The sequence below is a fragment of the Homo sapiens genome, chromosome 3 (assembly GCF_000001405.40).
Source record: "Homo sapiens chromosome 3, GRCh38.p14 Primary Assembly".
Taxonomy (NCBI): Eukaryota; Metazoa; Chordata; class Mammalia; order Primates; family Hominidae; genus Homo; species Homo sapiens.
This window is the reverse complement of record NC_000003.12, coordinates 137,762,472-137,783,795: the sequence shown is the minus strand read 5'-3', so window position 1 is coordinate 137,783,795 and position 21,324 is coordinate 137,762,472. Positions and strand designations below refer to the sequence as shown.

Genomic DNA, 21,324 nt, shown 5'->3' with positions numbered 1-21,324 from the left:
GAGGAGGAGAGGTGGGGCAGGGCAGTCTCCTCAGTAGACCTGGATGACCCCAGCTGAAATGGCCAGTGGAAGTGACAGGAAGGACACCAACACTTGGAGTCTGAGACCTAGATTAAAATCCCTGCTCTGCCAAGGATTAGCCTTCTAACTGTGTTCAAAGTTATCAGCTCTTATTTCCTCACATGAGCAATGAGGAAATGACAAACTTCTCAATAGGATGGTTGTGAGGAAGAACAGAGGCAGCACATGTAGGTAAAATGCCTGATCCCGTGAGAAGGCTCTCAGTAAATGGTAGCAGTTGCTATTATGGTTGCAAGAGGGTTTAATGCTACATTAGAATAACATTCCGTCTTAGAGAATTTCTTTATCTGTACTTAATTTCATGAGATAATAGGTTTAGGGGAAATGTCATCCATACTCTGGGACGATAGCAAGGCCTCTTAAAAAAATAAAAAAAAAACATTGTTAGCAAGATGTACATTCCCACCCAAATGTGATCCCCCTCCTTTCCTTGTCCATCCATCCCTACTGCCTCAGATGGAGTGAACAAAGGGGCCCACAGAAGAGTTGGAACCTAGAATTATAAGGGATAAGCCCCTAGCCCTCGGCTGGTACCCTGAGAAGTTCAGTTGTTAGCTGGAAATCAGGTCTATACTATGAGAGGCACCAGGTGACATACTGAAGAGGGGCTGATTTAATGAGATACTTCCCCATCACCGTGAATACAGCCCAAGTGTTCTTCAATATGTTTCTGTGCCTTGTTTTATAATTTCGTTTTATTTAAAAAATGTATATACAAAATGTATGTATACTTCAAAACATCAAGTTCTACATGATAAATACATATTTTGTATGTCAATTTAAAATAAATAAATTTGAAAAAATAAGATACAATGCAATTGACAGTCCTACAAATTTTAACATGGGGGTAGATTCATGCAACCATTATTACAATCAGGATGCAGAACAGTTCTAAGGCCTCAAAAATTTCCTGGTGTGACCCATTTGTTGGTCACACCTTCCCCTAGTTCTCAACCCTCAGCTACCAGTGATCTTTTCTTCATCACCATACTTTTATCTTTTCAAGAATGTCACGTAAATGAAAGAAATTATGCTGAGTGAAAAAGCCAGTCTTGCCTGGTTTTATATTTTTAAATAAACACAGCGAGCCTTTTTAAACATTTGACACAGAAACTGAATACGAGGCAGTAAAAAGACACATTTGTAAACTAGACTTGTTTTTCCATGCCCCCGTACAGACTTACCCTCAACTCTTTACAAAACTTCGTCTCCCAGGAAGTCTTCCCGAATTGATTCTTCCAAACATCTTTACCCTCTTGTTCTGGGCCTTGTCCTCTCACACTCTCCTTCTCTCCTTGTCACTTTCTCAGGAAGTCAGTTCTGAGCATGGATTAAGCAGCATGACACAGGAAAAAGTGCATATTCTCTGCAGACACACAGTTCTCAATATGCACCTGGGTCTGTAAGGACGGTGGGCCGGGTACTTAGTCTCCTGGATCCACAAGGTAGAATCACATTACCCTGAAGAGTTGTAGTAACTAGTAAAGATGGAATGATATGAACACAAAGCCCCCGGCATAGCATAGGCAGTCAACACACAGGCAGTCATTACTTTGAGCCACCAGTATTAATAGTGCTGCTTGTCTGTCACAGTGCCCACAGACCATTCCACCAGAGGCTTCGCATGTGTACAGGCACAAAAACAAAAGCATTCAGTATCAAAAGAAGGCCCAAAACAATGGACTAAATGTTTCCTTTTCTCATTCATTGTTCTGGCAGCATAGGGAAGTGTAGCCTACATAAAGGTAGGCCCCAAATGACTTTTCTCTGCCACCGTCCCCTGTGTGACCTTAACCATGACACTTTGCTGTTCCTGGCCCTTGATTTTTTTTTTTTTAATCTGGAAATGGGAGGGTGACCTCAAAGCTCTCAAGTGTTTCTCTAAGCTCTAAACTTCTAAAGCCCCAGGTAGGCCAGACATGGTGGTGAATGCCTGTAATCCCAGAATATTGGGAGGCTGAGGCAGGAGGATTGCTTGAGCCTAGGAGTTCAAGACCAGCCTGGGCAACATAGTGAGACCCCATCTCTACAAAAATACAAAAAACATTAGCTGGATGTGATGGCATATGCCTGTAATCTCAACTACTAGAGAGGCTGAGGCGGGAGTATAGCTTTAGCCCAGGAGGTCGAGGTTGCCTGGGTGACGGAGCAAGGCCTTGTCTCAAAAAATATATAAAATAAAATGAAATAAGACTCTGGGAGGCCTGACACGGTGGCTCACGCCTGTAATCCCAGCACTTTGGGAGGCCAAGGTGGCTGGATAGCCTGAGGTCAGGAGTTCGAGACCAGCCTGGCCAACATGGTGAAACCCCATCTCTACTAAAAAAATTACAAAAAATTAGCTGGGCATGGTGGCAGGCACTTGTAATCCCAGCTACTCGGGAGGCTGAGGCAGGAGAATCACTTAAACCCAGAAGGCAGAGGTTGCAGTGAGCCGAGATTGTGCCACTGCACTCTAGCCTGGGCAACAAGATCGAAACTCCGTCGCAAAAAAAAAAAAAAAAAAAAGAAAGAAAGAAAGAAAAAAAGACTCTGGGTATGCACAGACCACAGCTTTAAAGTTCAGTAATTTCTTATAAGCCCTTTCACCATTCTATCTGGGTTAAAACTCTGTTTTCTGACCCTGAAGGTGTGGACCAAACCCTCTCCCTTAGTTTATTATTCTGCATGTCATTGGGTCTACATAAAAACTGGAGAGATTATTTAAGTGAATCTAGATTGTATAAACAATGACTGAACAACTGATTTTTTAAACTATACTGGGTTTTCCAGCTTAAATATCATAGGAAAGGAAAAAGAGAGAAATCTAAATTAATAAAGTAGTCCACTCCATTAGTTTCTACCAGGTAGATACAATTTAATAATAATACATGACACTTGTTATATTTTATAGGCATTTACTATATGCCAGGAAGGCTAGGCACCCTGCATGTTATCCCATTTAATCTTCCTAACATATCTGTAGCAAGGTGTTGTGATTGCCATTTTAATCCTCCTTTTAACTGAGGAGTAAACAAACCCAGAGAGAGGTAGGGTACGTAGCCTATGGTTATACAGGGAGTAAGTGGCAGAAAAGTAGATGGAGCCAAATAAAGTGCAGGTAATTTCAGATCAGGAATTATATTCATTAGCATCACTAAGGGGAAGACAGTAGTCTCCAGGGTTTGGATTTGTCCCCCTGAATTCTTAGTATCAAAAAGGGCTTGAATGCAACTAGCACATCCTGACTATGAACCAAAGGAAAAGGGTGTAGAGGGAAAGGAATGGTAAGGAGCTGAGGTAAAGAGAGACAGTGGGGACACTACAGCAGGTGAAGGGGGAGAAGAAAGAGATGACGGATGTGAGGAGTCGGGCTCCCAGAGCGGGCAACTAACAGAGGCTGAGAATTTCCAAGAGGTCCTGGCTCTGGGAAAGAAGATTCAGGGAACACAGAAAGAAGGAACAGGAGGCCTTTGGGGCTGTAATTATCTAACAGGACTGTGATGAAAACAGGAGTCCGAGCTGCTGAATTGGAGAACAGGGGGAGATGGATAATATTTTCTCTAGCCTCATTGCCGAGAAACTCATTAAAATCCCCTTTCCATTTCCAACTCCTCAGTATCCAAAAGGCCAGTGTTTCTGAAACTGGAGAGATTTTCTTCTTTTCAATATAACTGGGGGAAACAAATAAGATACATCAATTTAAAATTTTCTAAACCATTTCCCCTTCATCCCACCACATTGTGCTATGAAGAAAAGAAATAACCTTTTAAAATGATGGGAAAACTGTAGCCACAGGGAGAGGGGGAAAAGGCTGGGGATTCTCTTTGTATCATTTTTTAGAAGAAAAAGTATAATGTCGTTTTCAAGAGATGAACAGAGTAGACCCTAAGCCGATATTCTCATTCACCATAAAAATATATGGGGAAAAGGAATCCTGAATTCAAAAGAAGATTTTTTAAAGGGGTGAAAAAAGAGAAAACACTCAAAATTATATCTAACATTAATTGCGTGGCATGATACTTAAGTACTTTACAACCATTGTGTCCTTTAATCCTCAAAATAATCCTGTAAGGCCTTCAAGGCTATCATTACCTACGAAGACTATTTCAATTTCCATTTTGCAGATGAGGTAAGTGAGACACAGAGAGGTTAAGCAACTTGCTAATGTTGGCATAGCTAGCAAGGAGTAGTTCTAGGATTTAGGCCCAGAGGGTCTAACTTTTAATACCCAAGTGATTAGCCAAAATGCTAATCTGCAGCCTCAAAAGAATGAGAAAGACAAAACAAATCCAAAGCGGAAAAGTCCCAATGAATTGCTTATTGTGCCAAGGTAAGATGAAGGACATTAGGACTCTGGAGAAATGTATGTTGACTTGAGGAAAGAACGATAGAGATGCAAGAGATACAGGTCTAGAAGTGTGATAGGGTGATAGCAAGAATCCCAAACTGGGAGGGAAAAAAGATCTGAGTTTCAGGTCCTCTTCGTATTGGCTTTGTGACTGTAGGCAAGCCACTTAACTTCCCAAAGCTCCAGCCTCCTCTGTAAAATAATACCTGAAACCACGTAGTTGTGAGGACTGCTGTGAGACTGAGTTGACTGAATGGAAAAGCAGTGTTAGCTAGGTGGTGTTACACATAGTCATTAAAGCTGTGGAATACCCCAGGAGGTTTAGAGCACCTTGTAATAAACAAATAAACAAAATTAGCACAAGTCTGCAAGAAAATGCTTGATTTGCTGGGTGCTTTTTGCTTTTGTGGGGGCTAAACTCTTCCACTGGCTGGCTTTCTTTCTTTTCTTTCTTTCTTTCTTTCTTTCTTTCTTTCTTTCTTTCTTTCTTTCTTTCTTTCTTCTTTCTTTCTTTCTCTTTCTTTCTTCTTTCTTTCTTTCTTTCTTTCTTTCTTTCTTTCTTTCTTTCTTTCTTTCTTTCTTCCTTTCTTTTTACTTTTACTGAAGGCTCATTTCGAATCTGTGCTGCGAGTAACAAATCTGAGACAATGTGATGTTGGAAACAACCATAGACTTTGAAAGGCCACAGATTAAGAATTCAGTTCTCTGAGGCCACGACATGCTCCAAGATAAAACAAATATCCAGGGGAAGGCAGGCAGTTTGGGCAGTATGCAGCACCTGGACCCTGCCTGACTGAGGAGACTACATTCCTTGACACTAGTGACTTACCCACAATTGGACTGCTTATGGTTAGTGGCCTTTCCCTTCCCTTCCTGCTTTCTCCTGCCCAGACGACCTTCTTAAAGGATAGGCAGGCCCTGGCTCTCAAAACCCATTCAGGTCCTTCTTCCCTTAGAGCTCCTTTCATGGAAATGTGTTAGGTTTTATGCAATATAATTAACAGACTGAAGACAGTCTGAGTAACCAAGATAAGGTTTAGCACCACCGAGAAAGTGTTTAAACTTTATGAGAGAACCTGGTGAATCTTCACGCCCTCTACCCTCAAGAGATAGTGCTAATTGCCTGATAGTTTTTTTTTTTTTCTTTGCCTCTGAGAAAGATGATAGAAGGAAAGAGTACTGGGCCAATACCTAAAAGACTTAGGTGCTAGGCCAGGATTTCCAGTTGTCAGGCTGTGTGACCTTGGAAAATTGGCTTTACTCCTCTGATCTCTCATTTTCCTCAAGTGGTAAACTGAGCACTTTAAATTGGTGTTTTCCAAAGTAATTTGAGAAATTATCTCTGTTACAGGGGAATAAATTTAATTTTGATTAGTATTACAAAAAATCTATTACAACAAACTTATGATTTATATGCATTATTGCTTGGGATAAGGCTAAAGTGAAAAAGCGAGTCAATTTAAAGAAAAGTCTGATAGTAAATAATATTATAGATGGATGTGACTAAAACTGTGACGGTGGAATTTGAAAGAAGATCATAAGGGACCTTCAGTCCCTTATCAAAGGGCAGAGTCCAGGACGAGCACTTAGCCATCGCTTCTGTTTTTCTACTTGGCACCCCCCCAGTTTGTCCTCCCATCCTTCGTCATACCTTTCTGTCAGCGTTTGTGAGAAACCTGCCCAACAAACCCATCCAATGCTCTGCAGTCCTTTGGTATAAAATTATAATTGGCACAAGTGATCATGTCATCAATTGCAGTTCACAAGTAAAAGTTTTAGTAAGACCAATAACATTTCAAATCGTCTTTTAATTTTTATAAAATTATCAAATCTTGCTCACAGGTCTCTGGCCCTTAGTTCTCCAAGAACTCACTCTTCTGGCTCCACAGTTCATTTTTTCATGTGACTTGTTAGGGATCATCTGTATTCCAACTGAGGGTGGAATTCTAAATCTAGAAGAATGAGTAAACGAGCATGTTTCAGAGAAGCTCTATAAAAGTTGAGCCCAAAACAACTGAGAGGCTTTGGAAAATCCCAATATTGCCTTAAACATAAATATTGTAATCAGTAACTTTTTATTTATGGCAAGGTTTGAACCTTCCAGAAAGATGCATCGAATGCAAACTATTATTAGCAGGGAAATGCAAAAGCCACTTGGTATTCCATGGTTGATACCCAACAGCTCAATGCAGTCTGAGCAAGCAAGAAACATTGTTCCTATCTCAAGACAAAGACATAGAGATTGGGCAGATTTGAAGAATCTAGTTTAGAAATTCAAGGGGATGATCAGGGTAACAGATTTACTAAACCCGATTAAGCGCAGGAGAACAAGACATAGGACTTTCAGGAATATTTTTTCTTTCCTTCCCAACATATTTACTTTCAATTGCTAAGCTGTGTGGTAAAGAAGGCTGCTCTGGAGTGAGCATAATGAAATGGGACTGGAAGGGGCTGGGGGCTCATCTGGTAGGCTTTGCAGGAAATCCGTGTCTGTAAATGTGCCTCTCATATGTGATGATTTGGGATCACCCTGGTGGTGTCCTGGTCCCTAGCTCTGCCTGCAAGACTCAGAAGCAGCCAGTAAGACTTGGGATGATAAAGCTGAAGCAGTGTGGGCCCAACTAGTAAGAGTTCAGTGACAGGAGATGTTGATCAGTTTTGATTCTGAATATTCTAGGTCAAACTGAGACAGGGAAGGTGTTTCAGCTCCTCCCCCTTACCCCCCTTCCTTGGACTCTTCCTCAGCTGTGAATGCCATGGGTTCTTTGTTCCTTCCTTTACCCACCTCCAGTAAGCCTTTGATTTTAAAGACAGTAGTGGGAAGACAGAGAGCTTGGGTATAGCAGCTCCATGTGAGGTCTGTGAGCTCTTGGGTAAGTCACTTAATGTCTCTGAGCCTTACTTTCCTCATATCTGAAATTGGCATAATAGCAGTACCTACCTAATAATGCTTTGGGGAGAATTTAACAAGATAAAATACCTAAGGCACAAACTTCTTTGCACAGAATGCTCAATTAATAACCATCTAATAAACCATGTGGCTCCCTCTTATTGCAAACAGAGTACATCTTTCCAGAGAATATGGAGACAAATCTTCAGAGTCCTGGAAAGAGATACAATAAATTAAAGCATATTCCTAAAACACATTTTAATGAAAGAAAAAGCAATCTCATTTAATTCATTAGTTGAGATGATACTTAAACACTGTTAACAATGTTGGATTTTCTTTTAGTCACTGATTGCAGAGAAATCAAAATCTTACTCATTCGCATCCAGTGGACTATTTTACACCAATCCAGGCATAGTCGATGCCACGGGAAGTAAAATACAAGTTTTCTGACTTCTTTTTCTGCATCCAAGCCAGGACTTCATTAAATGAATGGTCTGAGGCTTGGTGCTCAGCCTTTAGCTTTTGTGCCAGGCAATATCTCTACCAGGTTCCAACAGACTTCCAGGGCTGGCCTGATGGCACTTCAGGTTTTTTTCTTTAAGTATCATAGATTTCTCCTAGTAAGACAGTCAGAGCTTTTGATGCTGCCCTTTCTTATCAAGGGAAAGAATATATGAATGAAGTTGACACCATCAGTAGGGAACTAAAGGCCAATTATTAAAATTTTCATGATTAATTGGCAGTGGCATGCTGATCCCTTCGCCATCACTTTCCTACCTTGCTTCATTGACAGAGGTGTGGAATCTTAGCATAGAGGGTCTGAATTCTTCTGGGGAGTAGGAAATTATTTGCTGTTCAGGAAAGTAAGGAATTTGAACCATAAGGGGCTGGCGAACGCATTAACTAATTAAGGCCTTTTCAACTGGTTTCCCCCTTACTAACTAAAGGAATACATTTTGACTTCTAGTTGAAATTCAGAGGATGACCAAAAGACAGAAATTAATGAATATCCTTTTTGGCCTCAATCCAAAGAACTATTTTTCTTTCTGAGTTTATCCTACTCTTGAGCCCTCCCCAGTGAAGAAGAATGAAATCATAATGGCAATTTTCTTTCTGGCAACAGTTCATCACAAATGAAATTTACCTGTTTTCTTCCAGGTTGTCTCATAAAAGAATGAGGGCTGTTTCTCTCAAGGGTTTGATGATTTCAGATGTCCATCTAGAGCATAAGGAAGATAACCTAATTTCTGTTTCCATAAAAAATACTGGAGGACAAGAAGGCAATGTTCCTGTGGAATGTCCTCTAAGAGCTGATATGGGTGGGAGGTCAAGAGGATGTCCTCCAAAAGGCAGAAGCTCTTGATTTGCCAAGAAAGCTTGAGAAGAGGCCACCTGCAGAAGGATGGGGCTGTTGCAGAGAGACACTAATCATGAGACAAGGATTCATATTTTCTATGAAATTTCTCCTTCTAAAATAAAAAATCCAAACCCACCTTCATTATCACTTATTTCACCTGTTTATTATAAAATGTTTTCGGGCAATGTTGCAGCATCTTCAATTATCTGCAAAGGAGCTAAGTTTTTTTGATTTAGACAGCAAATTGACCTCCCATCTGACTTCAATCCTTTCTACCAAATAGGTTGGCCATGAATGCTGTTGTAGTTGTGTGACACACTTTGAATTTCACCAAGCATGTGGTAACAAGACTGGTCTGAGCCCCAGGTGTCAGTTGAACCTCCCACAGCAGCAGAGAGGGAGTCATCTGTATTTATACCAAGTTTGTGTTCACATTAGCTCAGAGTATAACCGATTTATACAAATACGTAAATGTCTCATTGTAAACCCAAAGTATGTTCAGACAGAGAAAAGTTCAGCTCACCTTTTCTACAGATGACATATCTTCAGGCCTTCAGTTCTTTTCTTCTCCATTTAGTTCTCAATGATAACTCAGAGCAAATGAAGCCTTCTAACTAGGTATAATTATGACAAACATTGAAGAGCCCAGGAAGTAAAAGACAATGGTAAGAAACAATTCTAAAATGTCTTAAAGCTGCCCTCTCGTTCAGCTGAATTATATCATAAGCACTTGCTACAAATAAGTCTATAGAGTTTGAGTCAAAACATCCATGAGACATTTTAACTTCTGCCCAAACTGCTAATCCTTTTACCTCATACTCACTTTGGTTGATTAAAAATTAGGTGATTAAGAAAATGGATTACCACAGTGAGAGAAAGTGAGACCAGGAAGAAGCAGGCATGACAAAGAATTATACTGATAATTTATGAAGACCTAGAAAGAAAATTTCTGATTCATCAATAGTATTTACAGGTTAAAAAAAAAAAAAAGAAAACTAAACAAGAGGAGGAGAAAGGAATAAGACAGAAAAAAAAAAGGTTGAAGGAAACGGTCTTCAGTCTGGAGAAGATTCATCCTGTGGGAATGCATTGCTGTCTTAAACAATGTACTGTTTTTCTTACTTATGAAAACCAGCAACAGATGCTGGTTGTTGGTCTTGTCCTTGCTTAGATCTATAGGTTTCCAGTCATTCATTTGCGTGTCATTGAAAGAGGAGATGACACTATGTTACCCCTTTATTTGGGAGAATATGGAGGAAATATCTGTCATACTGGTCATCAATTTTTATTTCAGGAAAAGTAAAACGTATTCTTATGTAATCTTCTCCAGCATTTAGAAGCTCCTCAAATGACTGCACCTCTCATTTCTTTCTTAATATATGCAAATTTTACTATACATTTTTTTGGACCTGAAAACTTTAAACACAAAAGATTTGATGTTGCTCATACCTTGAGCAAGCAGGAAATCCTTAGGGAAATGTGAACTACTTCATACTTATTAAAACAGCTATTTTAATAAAACAATGAATTATTGACCCAACATCTGACTCATCTTTTACTACATTTTTTAAGTTACAGGAAGGTTTATAACTAATAAATTTCTTTGTATTGCATGCATATCTTATGAAAAAATAATTGCATATCTTCTGCATATATTCTTAACCACTGGCATGTTGTATGTACTCAAACTGCAGTAGTAATGAGATGTGAATATGGGTAAAATTTTGTTCTAAAATCATAAATCATAATGCTGAATTATGAGGGGGTAATTATTTAACAACAACAACAAAACCTTCTCTCTTTACTTATCTTTACCTACTTCATCTCAATCTCACACTATTTTTTAAAAGAAAACTTCATTGCATATTCTAGCAAAGTGTATTGGTAGGGGAAGGTTTAACAGAGCCAGAGAGAATGTGCAAGGAGTGAGAAAGTGAATTGATGGATGGATGGTTAAATGAATATAAATGAACTGACACCTTTACAGGAAAATAACATTTCTTTTCTTTTTTTATTCTATAGATCAGTGGGTTTTGTATCTGTAATTCTTTCATATCAGCAAAGAGGAAATAAACTCTCATGTAAATCATTTTCCCCCCATCTGTAGCATATTAAAACCATGCCTTTTTTTTCTTTTAAGCAGACTCTTTTTTCCGTATTTGCTTATCAGTTCATCCACCATTACATTTTAAATGAAATTGCAAGACCCTTGTCCCTCCCCCAAATTTCAGCCTGATGTAGGAAAGTGGAAAGCAGACTTTTCTTGCCTTAGAATAGTGACCTAGATTCAATTACAGATAGACCCAGAAGAGAGAAGTGACACCTCACAATTTTCTTAGAGGTCCTGAAAAAATTAGAAATCTCAAAACAATACTTAATGGAAAAGAATCTGTTTATTTCTCCCCATTTTCCATCTTATTTCTTCTCTGCCTTAATTGCATTGCTTTGGTCCATTTAATTGTTCCTGGTATAACATCACAATAGGTTTCCCACGGGATATTTCTGAATCATAAAAACGGGCATTTCAAGGAAATTTCTGAGTTTGGCTTTTGAGGGTGAGTGTGTACACACAGAGTATGTGTAATTCTGCAAACTGAACCCAGATAAGATGGAAAAAAATCTCCTAAAAGGCACATTTTCCCTTGCATCCTTCAAAAAAGCAAACAAATTACATTAATAAAATACACTTATTATAATCGCATTGCAGACAAAGCATTGAAGGCGGAAAGCGGGTGTATATATTTTACGGTTTTCCCAATTACTGTAGAAAAATGTGGTCAAAAGAAATAGAAAGAGGGAAGAACCCTGTGATTCCGCTTATTGACTTTTATCACTAAATTAAGCATATAAATGACCTGAGCTGGTGGCTTGGTATATTAAATTAAAAAAAGAAGAACAATGATTCTCTCTTCTTTTTCCCTCCCTCTCTGATCTCAGCCTGAAAGGAGTCTTCGAGAGATAAGAAAGATGGGATTCGGTCCCCGCTACTCGGGTGGATCCTGCTTACCGCGAGCGGGGAGGCGGTTGCCTTCCGTGCAGGATTTCCGTTGAGGGCTCACAATAAGCGGTCTCAAGCGGGGGCACATTCCCCGCCACTTCCGCGGTCCCTCAAACAAACAAAGAAGCCAAAGTCGGCTGTCCCAAGACCAATGTAAGCGCTTAGGAAGCTTTGAGGCGCTTGAGGGCGAGGCAGGCTGCCGTGGGCAGGTGTGAACACCTCAGCCCTCGCGGCGGGTTTGGAGCCGCCCAGCGTAGGAAGAGGGCAGAAGTGGGCTCGCGTCTATGCGGGTATTCGAAATGAAAAAGAGCTGCAAACGGCACAAAAGTCCGGGGGCTAGGCGCAGGAAAACAGAGCAAGGGAGCTGCCTTAGTTCTCAAACACTGCATATGGATGGGTGTTCCGCGGAAGATTATTCTAGACCCTGTGAAAGAAGTCTCCACTGGGCGCCGGCCACGGCATTGGGGTGCGCGCCTGCTCTGCGAGAAGGGTCCCCCAGGCCGCGCGGGGGAACGCAGGAGACGCCTGTCCCCGGGGGAACCAGCGGAGGATTGTTTCATTTCAAAGTGAAAATCTGCAGGCTTTGGGAAACGATATTCAAAAAAGTATATAATCTCCATATGCCGCTCAATGGAGGATCCTCATAATTTACAGCGGCAGATAAGGCTAGAGGGTGTAATAAAAAATCTGAAGCCCTCCCCTCCCCCCTCGCCGCCTCCCCGGAATTGCACCTTGGGCAGCGGAGCAGAATCCGGAATGTGAACTTCTCCCGACATATGTTTCCCGCAGATAAGTAAACAATCTGGACGTGAAATGGAAATGGTAATTAATGCAGTAATGCTGTTACACCTCGAGTGTGCAAATCCCATTGACTCGCCGCGCCACGGGGGGTGCCGGGCGTACGGGGACCGGTGGCGTGCGCCCAGGCTGCCCACTCCCTCCCTCCTCTCTCCCTCCTCCCTAGGTCCCCGGGCGGGGCGTCCAGAAATCCCGCAGGGATGTGGACGGGCTGCGGGAAGCAAGGAGCTGCTTAAGCGGCGTTCGGGACTCCCGGCTCTCGGCCCTTGGAGGACTGGGCGGGTGCTCTGCGTTTGCCTCGACAGCCGCACCTCTCACCCACCTCCCTCGGTTATCACCGCCGCGCTAGCGCTAGCAGGGCCTCCTCGGGGCTCGAGTGCAGCCCGGCCCTGAAGCACCTAGGAGAGCCTGAGCTCGGGCGACAGAGGCCTGGAGGCAGAGGGAACCCTCAAACTTAGTGCGGCGGGTGGCCCTGAGTGCGGCGGTCAGGTCTTTCTCTCCTCTCTGTTCCGGGGCCAAGTGCTGCCGGGTTGTCTGGCGAGAGTTTTTCTGAAGTTTCTTTCCATCCTCGCACCGAAAGCGCTGATCGTGTATGAATTGCTTTTCTTACGGACCTAAGTGGAAAAGTTTGGAAAAGGCCACTGCCCTCCAGAGTAGAGCAACTTCTCCACTTTGTAGCAAAGAGGAACCTTGAGGCCTCCTTTCAGCCTCTGTCCGGCCTGGGCACCCGTTCCCTTCCTCAACCCAGACCCAGTGCTTGGGCTTTTGGGGGATCGGGGAGGATGCCTAGCGCAGGGATTCGAGCGAAAAGGATGCAGAATCAGGGGTGGCAGCCAAGGGACGTCCCCGACCCGCAGCCCTTCCCGCTTCCGAAGAGAACACCTTGCTCACCCGACCCCAGAGGCTGGGCAGGAGCCTGCGATGACGGCTCTGCGGGACCCAGGGCCAGGGGCTGGGCTAGAAAGTGAGTAACGAGGCCCCATCTTTTCTGACTTCAGGCTCCTTCCTAGTGTGAGAACCGGCAACGCCCAAGCCCCGGAACCTGGGCGCACACAGAGCCGGGATTCCGTGGGGCCGACCGCGAATCTCTGGTTTTAAGTAGACGCCCCAGGATTTCTAGCGCCCCCATCCGCCATCAATTTCATTATTTTCTTAATTACTCTGCCGTGGCCCAGCTCCTGCGCTTCTGGTTCCAGGCCGATGCCCATCCCTGCAGCGTCAGGAAAGAAACCAGCCCAAGTAGCTCTCCCACTGCTAGGTCCACTAGAGCCTAGGAGGCAGGGCAGGGCAGGGCAGGACAGAGGCCAGGAGAGCACGCACCTCGGTGGAGGCGGGAAGCTCTCCTGCCTCCAAATCTAACGGACCCCTTCTGTCCCTGTGCCTCTTCCTCTCACACTCACACACAATCCACTCAGCAAATAGATGAGAATTCTTTACACAAATCTTGTGAATTAGGTGATATTCAAATTCAAATGGTTTGAAATTCGCTGTCCACTTGAACAATGGTAACAAGGCCTGAGCTGGGGAGGAGATGAAGGAAACAAGAGTGCTGGCACCACAGCTCGCCAAGTTTTCCGGGCCCTGGCAGTCTCGGATCTCTCAAGAGAAGCTGACCGGCGGGACACACTTCCCTAAATGGTGAGCTGTATTGAAAGTACCTTGGCCCTACTCAGACGGAAACATCATCCCGCTTTGGTTCACCGGAGATTCCTACAGGTTAGCTCGCTCCAGTTCCAAAATGCAAACGTTCAGGGGGTCTCAGATGTCAGTCACTCACACCTCAGCGTAATTTACTCAAAGTAGCTGGTCTTTTCCGTCTTTAAAGTCATCGGGCCTAAGGAAATTAATATTTAAATAGAAAAACTCGGAAACTGGAAGGGAATCAAAGATTTTTGGAGTCAGATCCAAAACCGAGAAGTGCATGAAAGGCTGACGGAGTTCTCGGAATGAGGGAGGCCAGAGGCGGAAAGGGGTCAAGAATTCCACATCTCTCTGAAGATGTAGCCAGTGTACCCCTGAGCCAGATGGCAGCCAAGGTTTAAGAAAGCAAACCTAGGTAAAACCCAAACAACTCTGCTCCTGCCGCGCCGGCGCAGATGGCTGCCACCCCAGCAGCATGCTGTTCAGGTCTCTGCTGTCCTAGGGAACACCCAGCAGAGGAGCGACGGCGCTGAACGCGGCATGTATTTGGGTCACTTTTGGCGGGGAGAAGGGTCCCGGGGAAGCAATGGGAGCCTCAGGCGAGAGGTCCGGGCCCTCCCTGCCAACCCCGCTCGAAGGAGGCCCAGGTTGCTAAGCGAGAGAAGTCTGGGGCTCCCTGGCTACCGGACGCGTGCCTAACGCAGAGGGATCTGCAGAACCTCCTCCTGCAGGGCCACGGGCGCCCCTTGCAGCGCCGGAGTTCAGGTTCTCCGGATGCCAGGAGTCTGTCCAGGGCAACTCTTGGCTGCTCTTTGCTGCGCGACGCGCGCTCGGGAGAAGCGGCTCTTCTCCACTCCGGGCGGGCGGGGCGCTCCTCTCCCTACAGGTTTGCTTTAATGATTTTCTTGAAAGAAAGAGACAGTTGTGAGCAAACAGGTTTGACAGGGACTGCTGCCCCCCCACACCCCCCAGGGGATTTCTTTTTGTCTGCGCCTGACTTCAAAGTCAGTAATCGGCCCCTGTCAGCGGCGTGACGAGCAGGATTTTGGCTGTTTGTTAGGGCGAGTCGCGGCCGCGCACCTCGGCGGACGCTCCGCAGCCCTCGGGGCGACGGAGGCAAAGCTGAGGCAGGCTCTTGCGGGGATGGGGGTGGGGGCAGAGGTTGGGACCAGGTCTAAGGAGGGCAGATGGCTGGGGAAGGCCAGTCTGAGAAGGAAGGAAACGAAGTGTGATGGCCAAAAACCGCCCGAGCCAAGTCTTTGACTTTAGGTCTCAGGACCCGAACTGGGCCCCCGGCTCTTTGCAGGCTGGAAAGAGGTCTCAGCCACCTCTGAGTGAGGCCGCAGCCCCCTGAGCGCCTCTCTTCTACAGCGCACCCTAGTTTCCTAATTCCCCATCTGAGCCTAAGACCAAGCGCAACCCGGAACCCTGGTTTCGGTTTTCCAGCTTCAGCCACCGTCCGAGGCCTTTGCCCCTCGCACTTTGCCCTCGCACTCGCCACGTGCCCCTTTCCAGCCTAACCCTTCAGGTTTGCTTCAGGTGGGGTCGTGGGCGCCAGGTTCTTTCTCCAGCTGGGGGGCTCTGTGTGCCCAGGGCGCTCCTGCGCTGGGATCTGCGAGGAGATACCCAGAGCCCTGTAAGCTTCATCTTAGGAGATATTAAGGGACACTGAGCTATGGGAGCTATCAGAGCGGCTGACAGGACTGTCAGTTGGGGTTATATCAGACAGGAAAACCGTGGCGTCTCCGTCCCAGGCCTCCTGGGCTTCCTAGGGGGCGGGAGGAGGGGCCTTCCCTAAGCGCCCAGGCCCCCAGACCGGACGGCCACCAGAGGCAAGTCACTTCCTAATTGTCTCGATTTGTAAAAGGGTTTTGTAATGCTAAGTAAGCGTGGCGCAGCCAGCCCGGACTCCCCCTACACCTCCCTCAGCCCGCCTTTGTTTACCTTCGCCTGATCGCTCATTTATTTATCTATCTATTATTTATAGGCGTCCTCTCCTATTCAGCGCCCGTGTATGTTAATTGTGTTATACCATTTAATTCTAACATCGGTCTCAAAAGAGCTCTTAATGAGAAAAGCATATACAACATGGATCACTTTGCTATTCAGCTTAGCCAGATGGACAACTGCTAACTTTTTTTTTTTTTTAATAATGAAAATCCCCCTTTGACAAAGGGGCTCGGATGAATAGGCTCCAAATAACACCTCAAACACTTCTAATTGTTTTGAGGACAATATGCTAATCCGCGGGTTTCGGCTTTGGTGTCTGTTGACAACGTTTCCCGTGCACTTCGAGCCACCGACTCCTTTGGAAACAGCGGAGGCAAGCGTACAAATCTCTCAACAGCAGCAGAAAGCCCACAAACCTCTAGGCTGCCCCACCTCCCACCCCACAGCATATCAAAGCCAGTGGGAAAAGCACGCAAATTAAGGAAAACCACGCGTGAGCGCGGCTTTTGGGGTGAGACTCCAAGACCAAGGGTGGAAAGCACCCTTCGATTTTGAGAACAAATTCCAAAGAGTTTTGCTGGATAACATCGGAGGGTCCTTTCTCAGGAAAGACAATAATCTTCAAGAAAACATTCACCCGGAGGGGAAAGAAAAGGACTCTTTTCCTTGTTTAACGTCATGGGCTGTGCTTTTATTTGATTTTTTACGATTTTTAAAAACTCCTTGCCTGAGCCATGACAATGTCGCCTTCCTTTTCCCTTTGCTCCTGCAGGGTCTCAGCAAAAAGTGTTCGACATTCTGGGGCAGGGACCTATGGCACATTTTTCTGCATTTCTTAGAGTTTTATTTTTTAACTTAGGAACCAGTATCAAGCACCAAATCCCCAGAAGAGTGGGCAGCAGCCTTTCCAAACACCTAAAAAGGCAGAATACCTGATTCCCCCAGTCTTCTCCCATGCTTTGAACTTAAACATCCAATGCAGGACGGGGTGTTCAGCGCGCAACTGGTTCCCAGGAGACTCGGTGCTTCTCCCTGCTCCTTCAGCGTTTGGTTTTTTAAAAAGTAAACTCACCCAGATCTCAGCGGTCTGGGTCGGCCTTTGACTTAGTTCATTCATTCCTTGAAGTGGCCTGACCCTTTTGGGAAGAATGGGAGGAGAGAGTGAAGTCCCAGGGAACGATACCTTTGTCTAGCCTCTAAAGGCAAAAAGCAATCTCCAGGGCGCATTCCGGACGGATCCGAAGCTCTAGGCCCTTCTACACCCAACCCGCAGACCACCAAGCTGGGCCAACGGGGGGCAGCCACCAGCCATCACTGCTTAAAGTCGCTCTATGCACTTTCAGCCTCCCCGCACCCGACTTTCCAGTCCCTCCAACCTGGCTCCTGACTTCAGATTTTAGGCACATCAAAGGTTACTTTTTTACAATGACAGATTGTCTTTATTCAAAACGTCTTTGTTCAACAAATGAACAGAGCAACGAGGTAAAATCCTTCTAGGTACATTTCCAAGACATCGTCAAAACATTTATGACCATTTAGGTTGTTTTTGTTCTTTTAATTTTTTGTTCACCTTCTACTTCCTGACTTCATAACCCGACATTCTGTCTAAAAGTAAACTTAGATCTCTAGAAGCACTGCTTTACACAAAGTAAATAACCATGTAGGTCCTTTTTGTTTTCCCTTTAAAGAAGCAAACACTATCATAGCATGGTTTTAAATAGAAATGTTTCCCTTTCTGTAATTTAAAACTTTGAAGCCTTTCCCCCCCATACATGAAGAGCAAATGGCTCCTAGTTGTGTCTGATGGCAAAACACAGAGACACAGCTAACTCTTTTCTTCAGGGGACAAAAGGAAAAAATATATGCATATTGTAGATATAATATCAGAATCTGGGAGTTCAGAGTCCAAAGCCTATCCGAGGAGAGTGAAGGGGATATAAATAAAGCAAAACTGCCTACTTTTTTGTCCAAAGGGGGTACAGTCGGAGATTTGTTTTGGGAGAGTCGGGATAGGGGCAGCTGTGTAGCTGACATAACGTTTGCAAGTTTCCGGTACCTGTCTGCGCCTTGGGTCCGGGAGGACGCCCCACCCTTCCCCCTGGAAGAGAGAGGAAAAGTCTGGGTGGTGTAAGGGACAGCGGCAGGGCTGACCCCGGAGGCGTCTGCAGGCCGGGGCTAGGCTCAGAGGACAGGGTGCAGACCCGGCTTTCAGACCACGCCTCAGGTCCGGGCCGGGCTGGGGGTTACATGGCCGTAGCGTGGGCTGACGAATAAGGGTCTATGCCAGTCTTGGTCATGCCTGGGAAGAGGATGTAGGCGACGGGGGGCTGCAGGGTGGAGGCAGACCAGGCGGTACAGTTACAGGGCACCACGTAGCCAGGGTTGGTGGGGGACGGGTGCGTGTGCGTGTGCTGGCTGGGGCAGCTGAGGCTGCCGAAGGCGCCGTTCTGGTAGCCCAGGGTGGACGCGTAGGGCAGAGCGCCGGTAGCCAAGGTGTGGGGCACTTCGCCCATCTTCTGGATGGCGCTCGAGCTAAACTGCGCGGGGTCCAGCAGGGAGTAGGGCGCCGAGGCCGGCGGCAAGAAGGCCCGGGCTTTCTCGGGCGCGCTCAGGAGGCCGTCGGAGGCCCCCACGGGCAGGCCAGCCGCCTTGAGCGGGTCCGTGTCGCCCAGGTAGGGCAAGGGGAAGACATACCTGTCCTTCTTGAGCAGGTTCTTGGGCTTGCGCCGAGGTCGGTACTTGTAGTCAGGGTGCTCCTTCATGTGCTGGGCGCGTAGCCGCTTGGCTTCATCGATGTATGGCCGCTTCTCTGCCTCGGACAGAAGCTTCCATTCGGCACCTAGGCGTTTGCTGATCTCCGAGTTGTGCATCTTGGGGTTTTCCTGGGCCATCTTGCGCCGCTGGCCCCGGGACCATACCATGAAGGCGTTCATGGGCCGCTTGATGTGGTCTGAAGGTTTGGACATGGTCCCGGCGGCTAGGTGGGTGGGGGTAGGGAGTGCAAGGGTTCTGCAGACGAGCCTGGGCGCGGCTGGCCGTCTGTCTGTCCGTCCTGAGCCGGGGTTCTGCGCTCCCCTCGCCTTGGCGCCGCTGAGGGGAAGCCAGAGAGAAGCGCTGACCCCACAAAGTTCAGCTGATCATGCCAGTCCCAGCGCCCAGGCAGCCCCGGGGGAGCGAGTGGGGGCAGAAAGGGCGGGGGAGGAGAGGGCGATCGGCCGGGGGGCTTCAGGCACCAGGGGCTGGGACCCAAGTATCGGAGTCTCCGGGATTAAGTGGCCAGGTAATTTTTTAGCCAGGGCAAGAAGCTCCTCCTTCTCCCCCTCTCCACCTTTGCCTTCTCTAGTTCCCTTCTCTCCTCTTGCGTTTCCAGTCGTGGCTCCCCCTTCCCGTGGCTTTCCCGGAGCTGCCGCGCCTAGCGCTGCACCTGGCTGAGAATGCGGGGAGGCTGGTGAACGAGAGCCAAAAGCGGCGAAGTTCAAAGGCGAGGTGGGCCGGGACTGCACGCACTCTGACATAAGCGCGGGGCGGCGACTCCCCAACCTGGGCGCCAATCAGCAGCAGAGAAGCCGAGGGGGCGCACCTGCCAACACGCCGGTGCAAGAAACAGAGAGCGCGACTGGTGGGGGCGGGGAGAGGTGTGAGGGACAGAGGCAGAGAGAGGGCTAGAGCAGAGAGGCTAGCTCTAGACTGGGGACTTCGGTTCCACATTGTCTCGGGCACTGTCAACAAATAAAACTCTTCCGCGTCTCCTGTTTCCTTTCCCGGTTGTGAAAGAGAATTAGGGCTTGAAATACAAAGGCCGGGGAAGGGACAGCAAAGGGAGCGAGGCGAGAGCTTGTGTTGATAAATAGGACAGCTTTGCCGCGAAATGCAAGGACAGCACTTTGCCCTCTTGTCAAATATCCTTGGAAGAGAAAAATAACATATAGCAGGCTCAGGGTAAAAGCGAAATAAACTTTTCGCGCCCCACCCTCGGCGGTGCTTTGGCAGTGTTCTCCCGGGAAGCCCCTGCAACTAGGCATCCACCCCTGCCCCAGGATGCGGCGCCCGGGCGTAGCGCTGGGACCCTGGGTGGCTGAGCAATGTTGTCTGACCTGCTCCTGGAAGGCCTCGCGTCAGGCAATGCAGAGATTTCGAACCCTAGTTGGTGAGCCCTTAAAAGCACTACGACCTGTTCTTCACTTTTGGGGCAGGGATGGGGCTGAGATTTCTATTGCAGTTCCCATTTATGTTATTATTATTTAGTGTCTTTAAACCTCCAACTTTTACTCCACAAATGTTCATACCGTAAGAAGAGCCTAGAGGCTGGGTATGGGGCTCTTCCCGGTGCCCCTTCTGCAGCGGCCCTACAGCGGAGTCTCACGGTGTATCGCAACCAGGGTCGGTTTGTCCCTGGGCGCCTCTTCCCACCCAGGGAGGCTGCGAGACTCGTTTCTTGCGTCAAATGAGCATTCTTCGGGTAAAGAGGACGAAATAACCCGCAGAGCCAACCTGCGCGCCTGTTTCCTTTGAATAATTGCCTGCCCGATGTGAAATGCCCTTGGGGGAAATATTTATTAAATGGAAACCATTGTCCCAGGCCCGGCGGGACCTGCGTGTGTTCCAGGCTTATTGGCTTTTGCACCATTCTCTCTTGGGAGGACCGGCCAGAAACGCGCAAGGCTCCGTTGGCTCCGAGGGGCTAGGAGTGGGGGAGGGTGACAGGGAATGAGGAGGCCGGAAGGGAGGATCTTTCTCTAGCATGTAGTGTATCAAGTTTGAGGAGAAGACTTTGCTTCCCCTTCCTAAAATTAGAAAGACGCGTGGAACTTCTCACCCTTGGCGCACTTTTCAGAGAGGTGGGCAATATCCCCATTTTACAGATTAGGAAACTAAGGTTGAGAAAAACTAGGTGATTTGTCAAAAGTGACTCTGGGAGTGATGCTTGATGTATAGGATTTGAAAATCCCTATTTTCACCCCCATTCCACTAGACGTCACGCCTAGGGATTTCATGGCTCTGCAGCCCAATGTGGAACACCTGATGAGACTATTGGGGCAATCGACACCTGCCATGCAGATAAACCACGCTGGAAAGACTGATCCTGCGCTTGATTTGCTTAGCCATGGGCTCCACCTCCGAGGGCTGGCAAACAGGTGCACAGCCTTTACATTCCTTCCCAACCCCAGCTCTGGCCTTTCTCCAGAGCCTCCATCCAGCCCTGTAACCCTGCTTTCTCTGCAGGAAGTTTCATTTAGCTTAGGGTCTCAGGAAGCAAACGCACTTTTCAGCCCAGTCTG

The 21,324-nt window shown here is 46.6% G+C and overlaps 1 protein-coding gene and 1 long non-coding RNA gene across 2 annotated transcripts, besides 11 other annotated features; both read right to left on the bottom strand.

The window, feature by feature from the left end:
• Window positions 1-2,917: 2,917 nt before the first annotated feature.
• LINC01210 (long intergenic non-protein coding RNA 1210) lies at window positions 2,918-11,885 on the bottom strand. Its single transcript, NR_109987.1, has 5 exons — window positions 11,666-11,885; window positions 9,182-9,268; window positions 8,446-8,520; window positions 7,392-7,514; window positions 2,918-3,734 (listed from the first exon to the last, which is right to left on the bottom strand). It is a non-coding gene; the product is annotated as a long intergenic non-protein coding RNA 1210 (long non-coding RNA).
• Window positions 11,361-12,021: an enhancer, noted in NCBI's record as "H3K4me1 hESC enhancer chr3:137490617-137491277 (GRCh37/hg19 assembly coordinates)". NCBI's record gives its function as "activates a minimal SCP1, AML or CMV promoter by ChIP-STARR-seq in naive H9 embryonic stem cells {active_cell/tissue: H9 hESC(naive)}" and the evidence as "EXISTENCE:reporter gene assay evidence [ECO:0000049][PMID:30033119]".
• Window positions 15,527-16,073: an enhancer, noted in NCBI's record as "OCT4-NANOG-H3K4me1 hESC enhancer chr3:137486565-137487111 (GRCh37/hg19 assembly coordinates)". NCBI's record gives its function as "activates a minimal SCP1, AML or CMV promoter by ChIP-STARR-seq in primed H9 embryonic stem cells {active_cell/tissue: H9 hESC(primed)}" and the evidence as "EXISTENCE:reporter gene assay evidence [ECO:0000049][PMID:30033119]".
• Window positions 16,074-16,621: an enhancer, noted in NCBI's record as "OCT4-NANOG hESC enhancer chr3:137486017-137486564 (GRCh37/hg19 assembly coordinates)". NCBI's record gives its function as "activates a minimal SCP1, AML or CMV promoter by ChIP-STARR-seq in primed H9 embryonic stem cells {active_cell/tissue: H9 hESC(primed)}" and the evidence as "EXISTENCE:reporter gene assay evidence [ECO:0000049][PMID:30033119]".
• Window positions 16,899-17,595: an enhancer, noted in NCBI's record as "OCT4-NANOG hESC enhancer chr3:137485043-137485739 (GRCh37/hg19 assembly coordinates)". NCBI's record gives its function as "activates a minimal SCP1, AML or CMV promoter by ChIP-STARR-seq in naive H9 embryonic stem cells {active_cell/tissue: H9 hESC(naive)}" and the evidence as "EXISTENCE:reporter gene assay evidence [ECO:0000049][PMID:30033119]".
• Window positions 17,462-19,481, bottom strand: SOX14 (SRY-box transcription factor 14). The gene has a single exon (NM_004189.4). The coding sequence runs from the start codon at window positions 19,009-19,011 to the stop codon at window positions 18,289-18,291; it is 723 nt and encodes a 240-aa protein (NP_004180.1). The 5' UTR covers window positions 19,012-19,481; the 3' UTR covers window positions 17,462-18,288.
• Window positions 18,646-19,451: an enhancer, noted in NCBI's record as "H3K27ac-H3K4me1 hESC enhancer chr3:137483187-137483992 (GRCh37/hg19 assembly coordinates)". NCBI's record gives its function as "activates a minimal SCP1, AML or CMV promoter by ChIP-STARR-seq in naive H9 embryonic stem cells {active_cell/tissue: H9 hESC(naive)}" and the evidence as "EXISTENCE:reporter gene assay evidence [ECO:0000049][PMID:30033119]".
• Window positions 18,646-20,386: a biological region, named in NCBI's record as "SOX14 promoter region". NCBI's record gives its function as "regulatory_interactions: SOX14".
• Window positions 19,055-19,732: a promoter, noted in NCBI's record as "XbaI/PstI core promoter fragment from -470 to +201 used in the 5'700+CAT6 reporter construct". NCBI's record gives its function as "drives SOX14 transcription by reporter assays in HepG2 liver carcinoma cells {active_cell/tissue: HepG2}" and the evidence as "EXISTENCE:reporter gene assay evidence [ECO:0000049][PMID:15451172]".
• Window positions 19,055-20,386: a promoter, noted in NCBI's record as "PstI fragment from -1123 to +201 used in the 5'1300 CAT6 reporter construct". NCBI's record gives its function as "drives SOX14 transcription by reporter assays in HepG2 liver carcinoma cells {active_cell/tissue: HepG2}" and the evidence as "EXISTENCE:reporter gene assay evidence [ECO:0000049][PMID:15451172]".
• Window positions 19,452-20,257: an enhancer, noted in NCBI's record as "H3K27ac-H3K4me1 hESC enhancer chr3:137482381-137483186 (GRCh37/hg19 assembly coordinates)". NCBI's record gives its function as "activates a minimal SCP1, AML or CMV promoter by ChIP-STARR-seq in naive H9 embryonic stem cells {active_cell/tissue: H9 hESC(naive)}" and the evidence as "EXISTENCE:reporter gene assay evidence [ECO:0000049][PMID:30033119]".
• Window positions 19,541-19,644: a protein binding site, noted in NCBI's record as "F23/R20 amplicon". NCBI's record gives its function as "binds NF-Y in HepG2 liver carcinoma cells {active_cell/tissue: HepG2}" and the evidence as "EXISTENCE:protein binding evidence [ECO:0000024][PMID:15451172]".
• Window positions 19,591-19,597: a transcriptional cis regulatory region, noted in NCBI's record as "CCAAT box motif bases mutated in the 5'1300mut CAT6 reporter construct". NCBI's record gives its function as "necessary for full activity of the SOX14 promoter in HepG2 liver carcinoma cells {active_cell/tissue: HepG2}" and the evidence as "EXISTENCE:site-directed mutagenesis evidence [ECO:0005528][PMID:15451172]".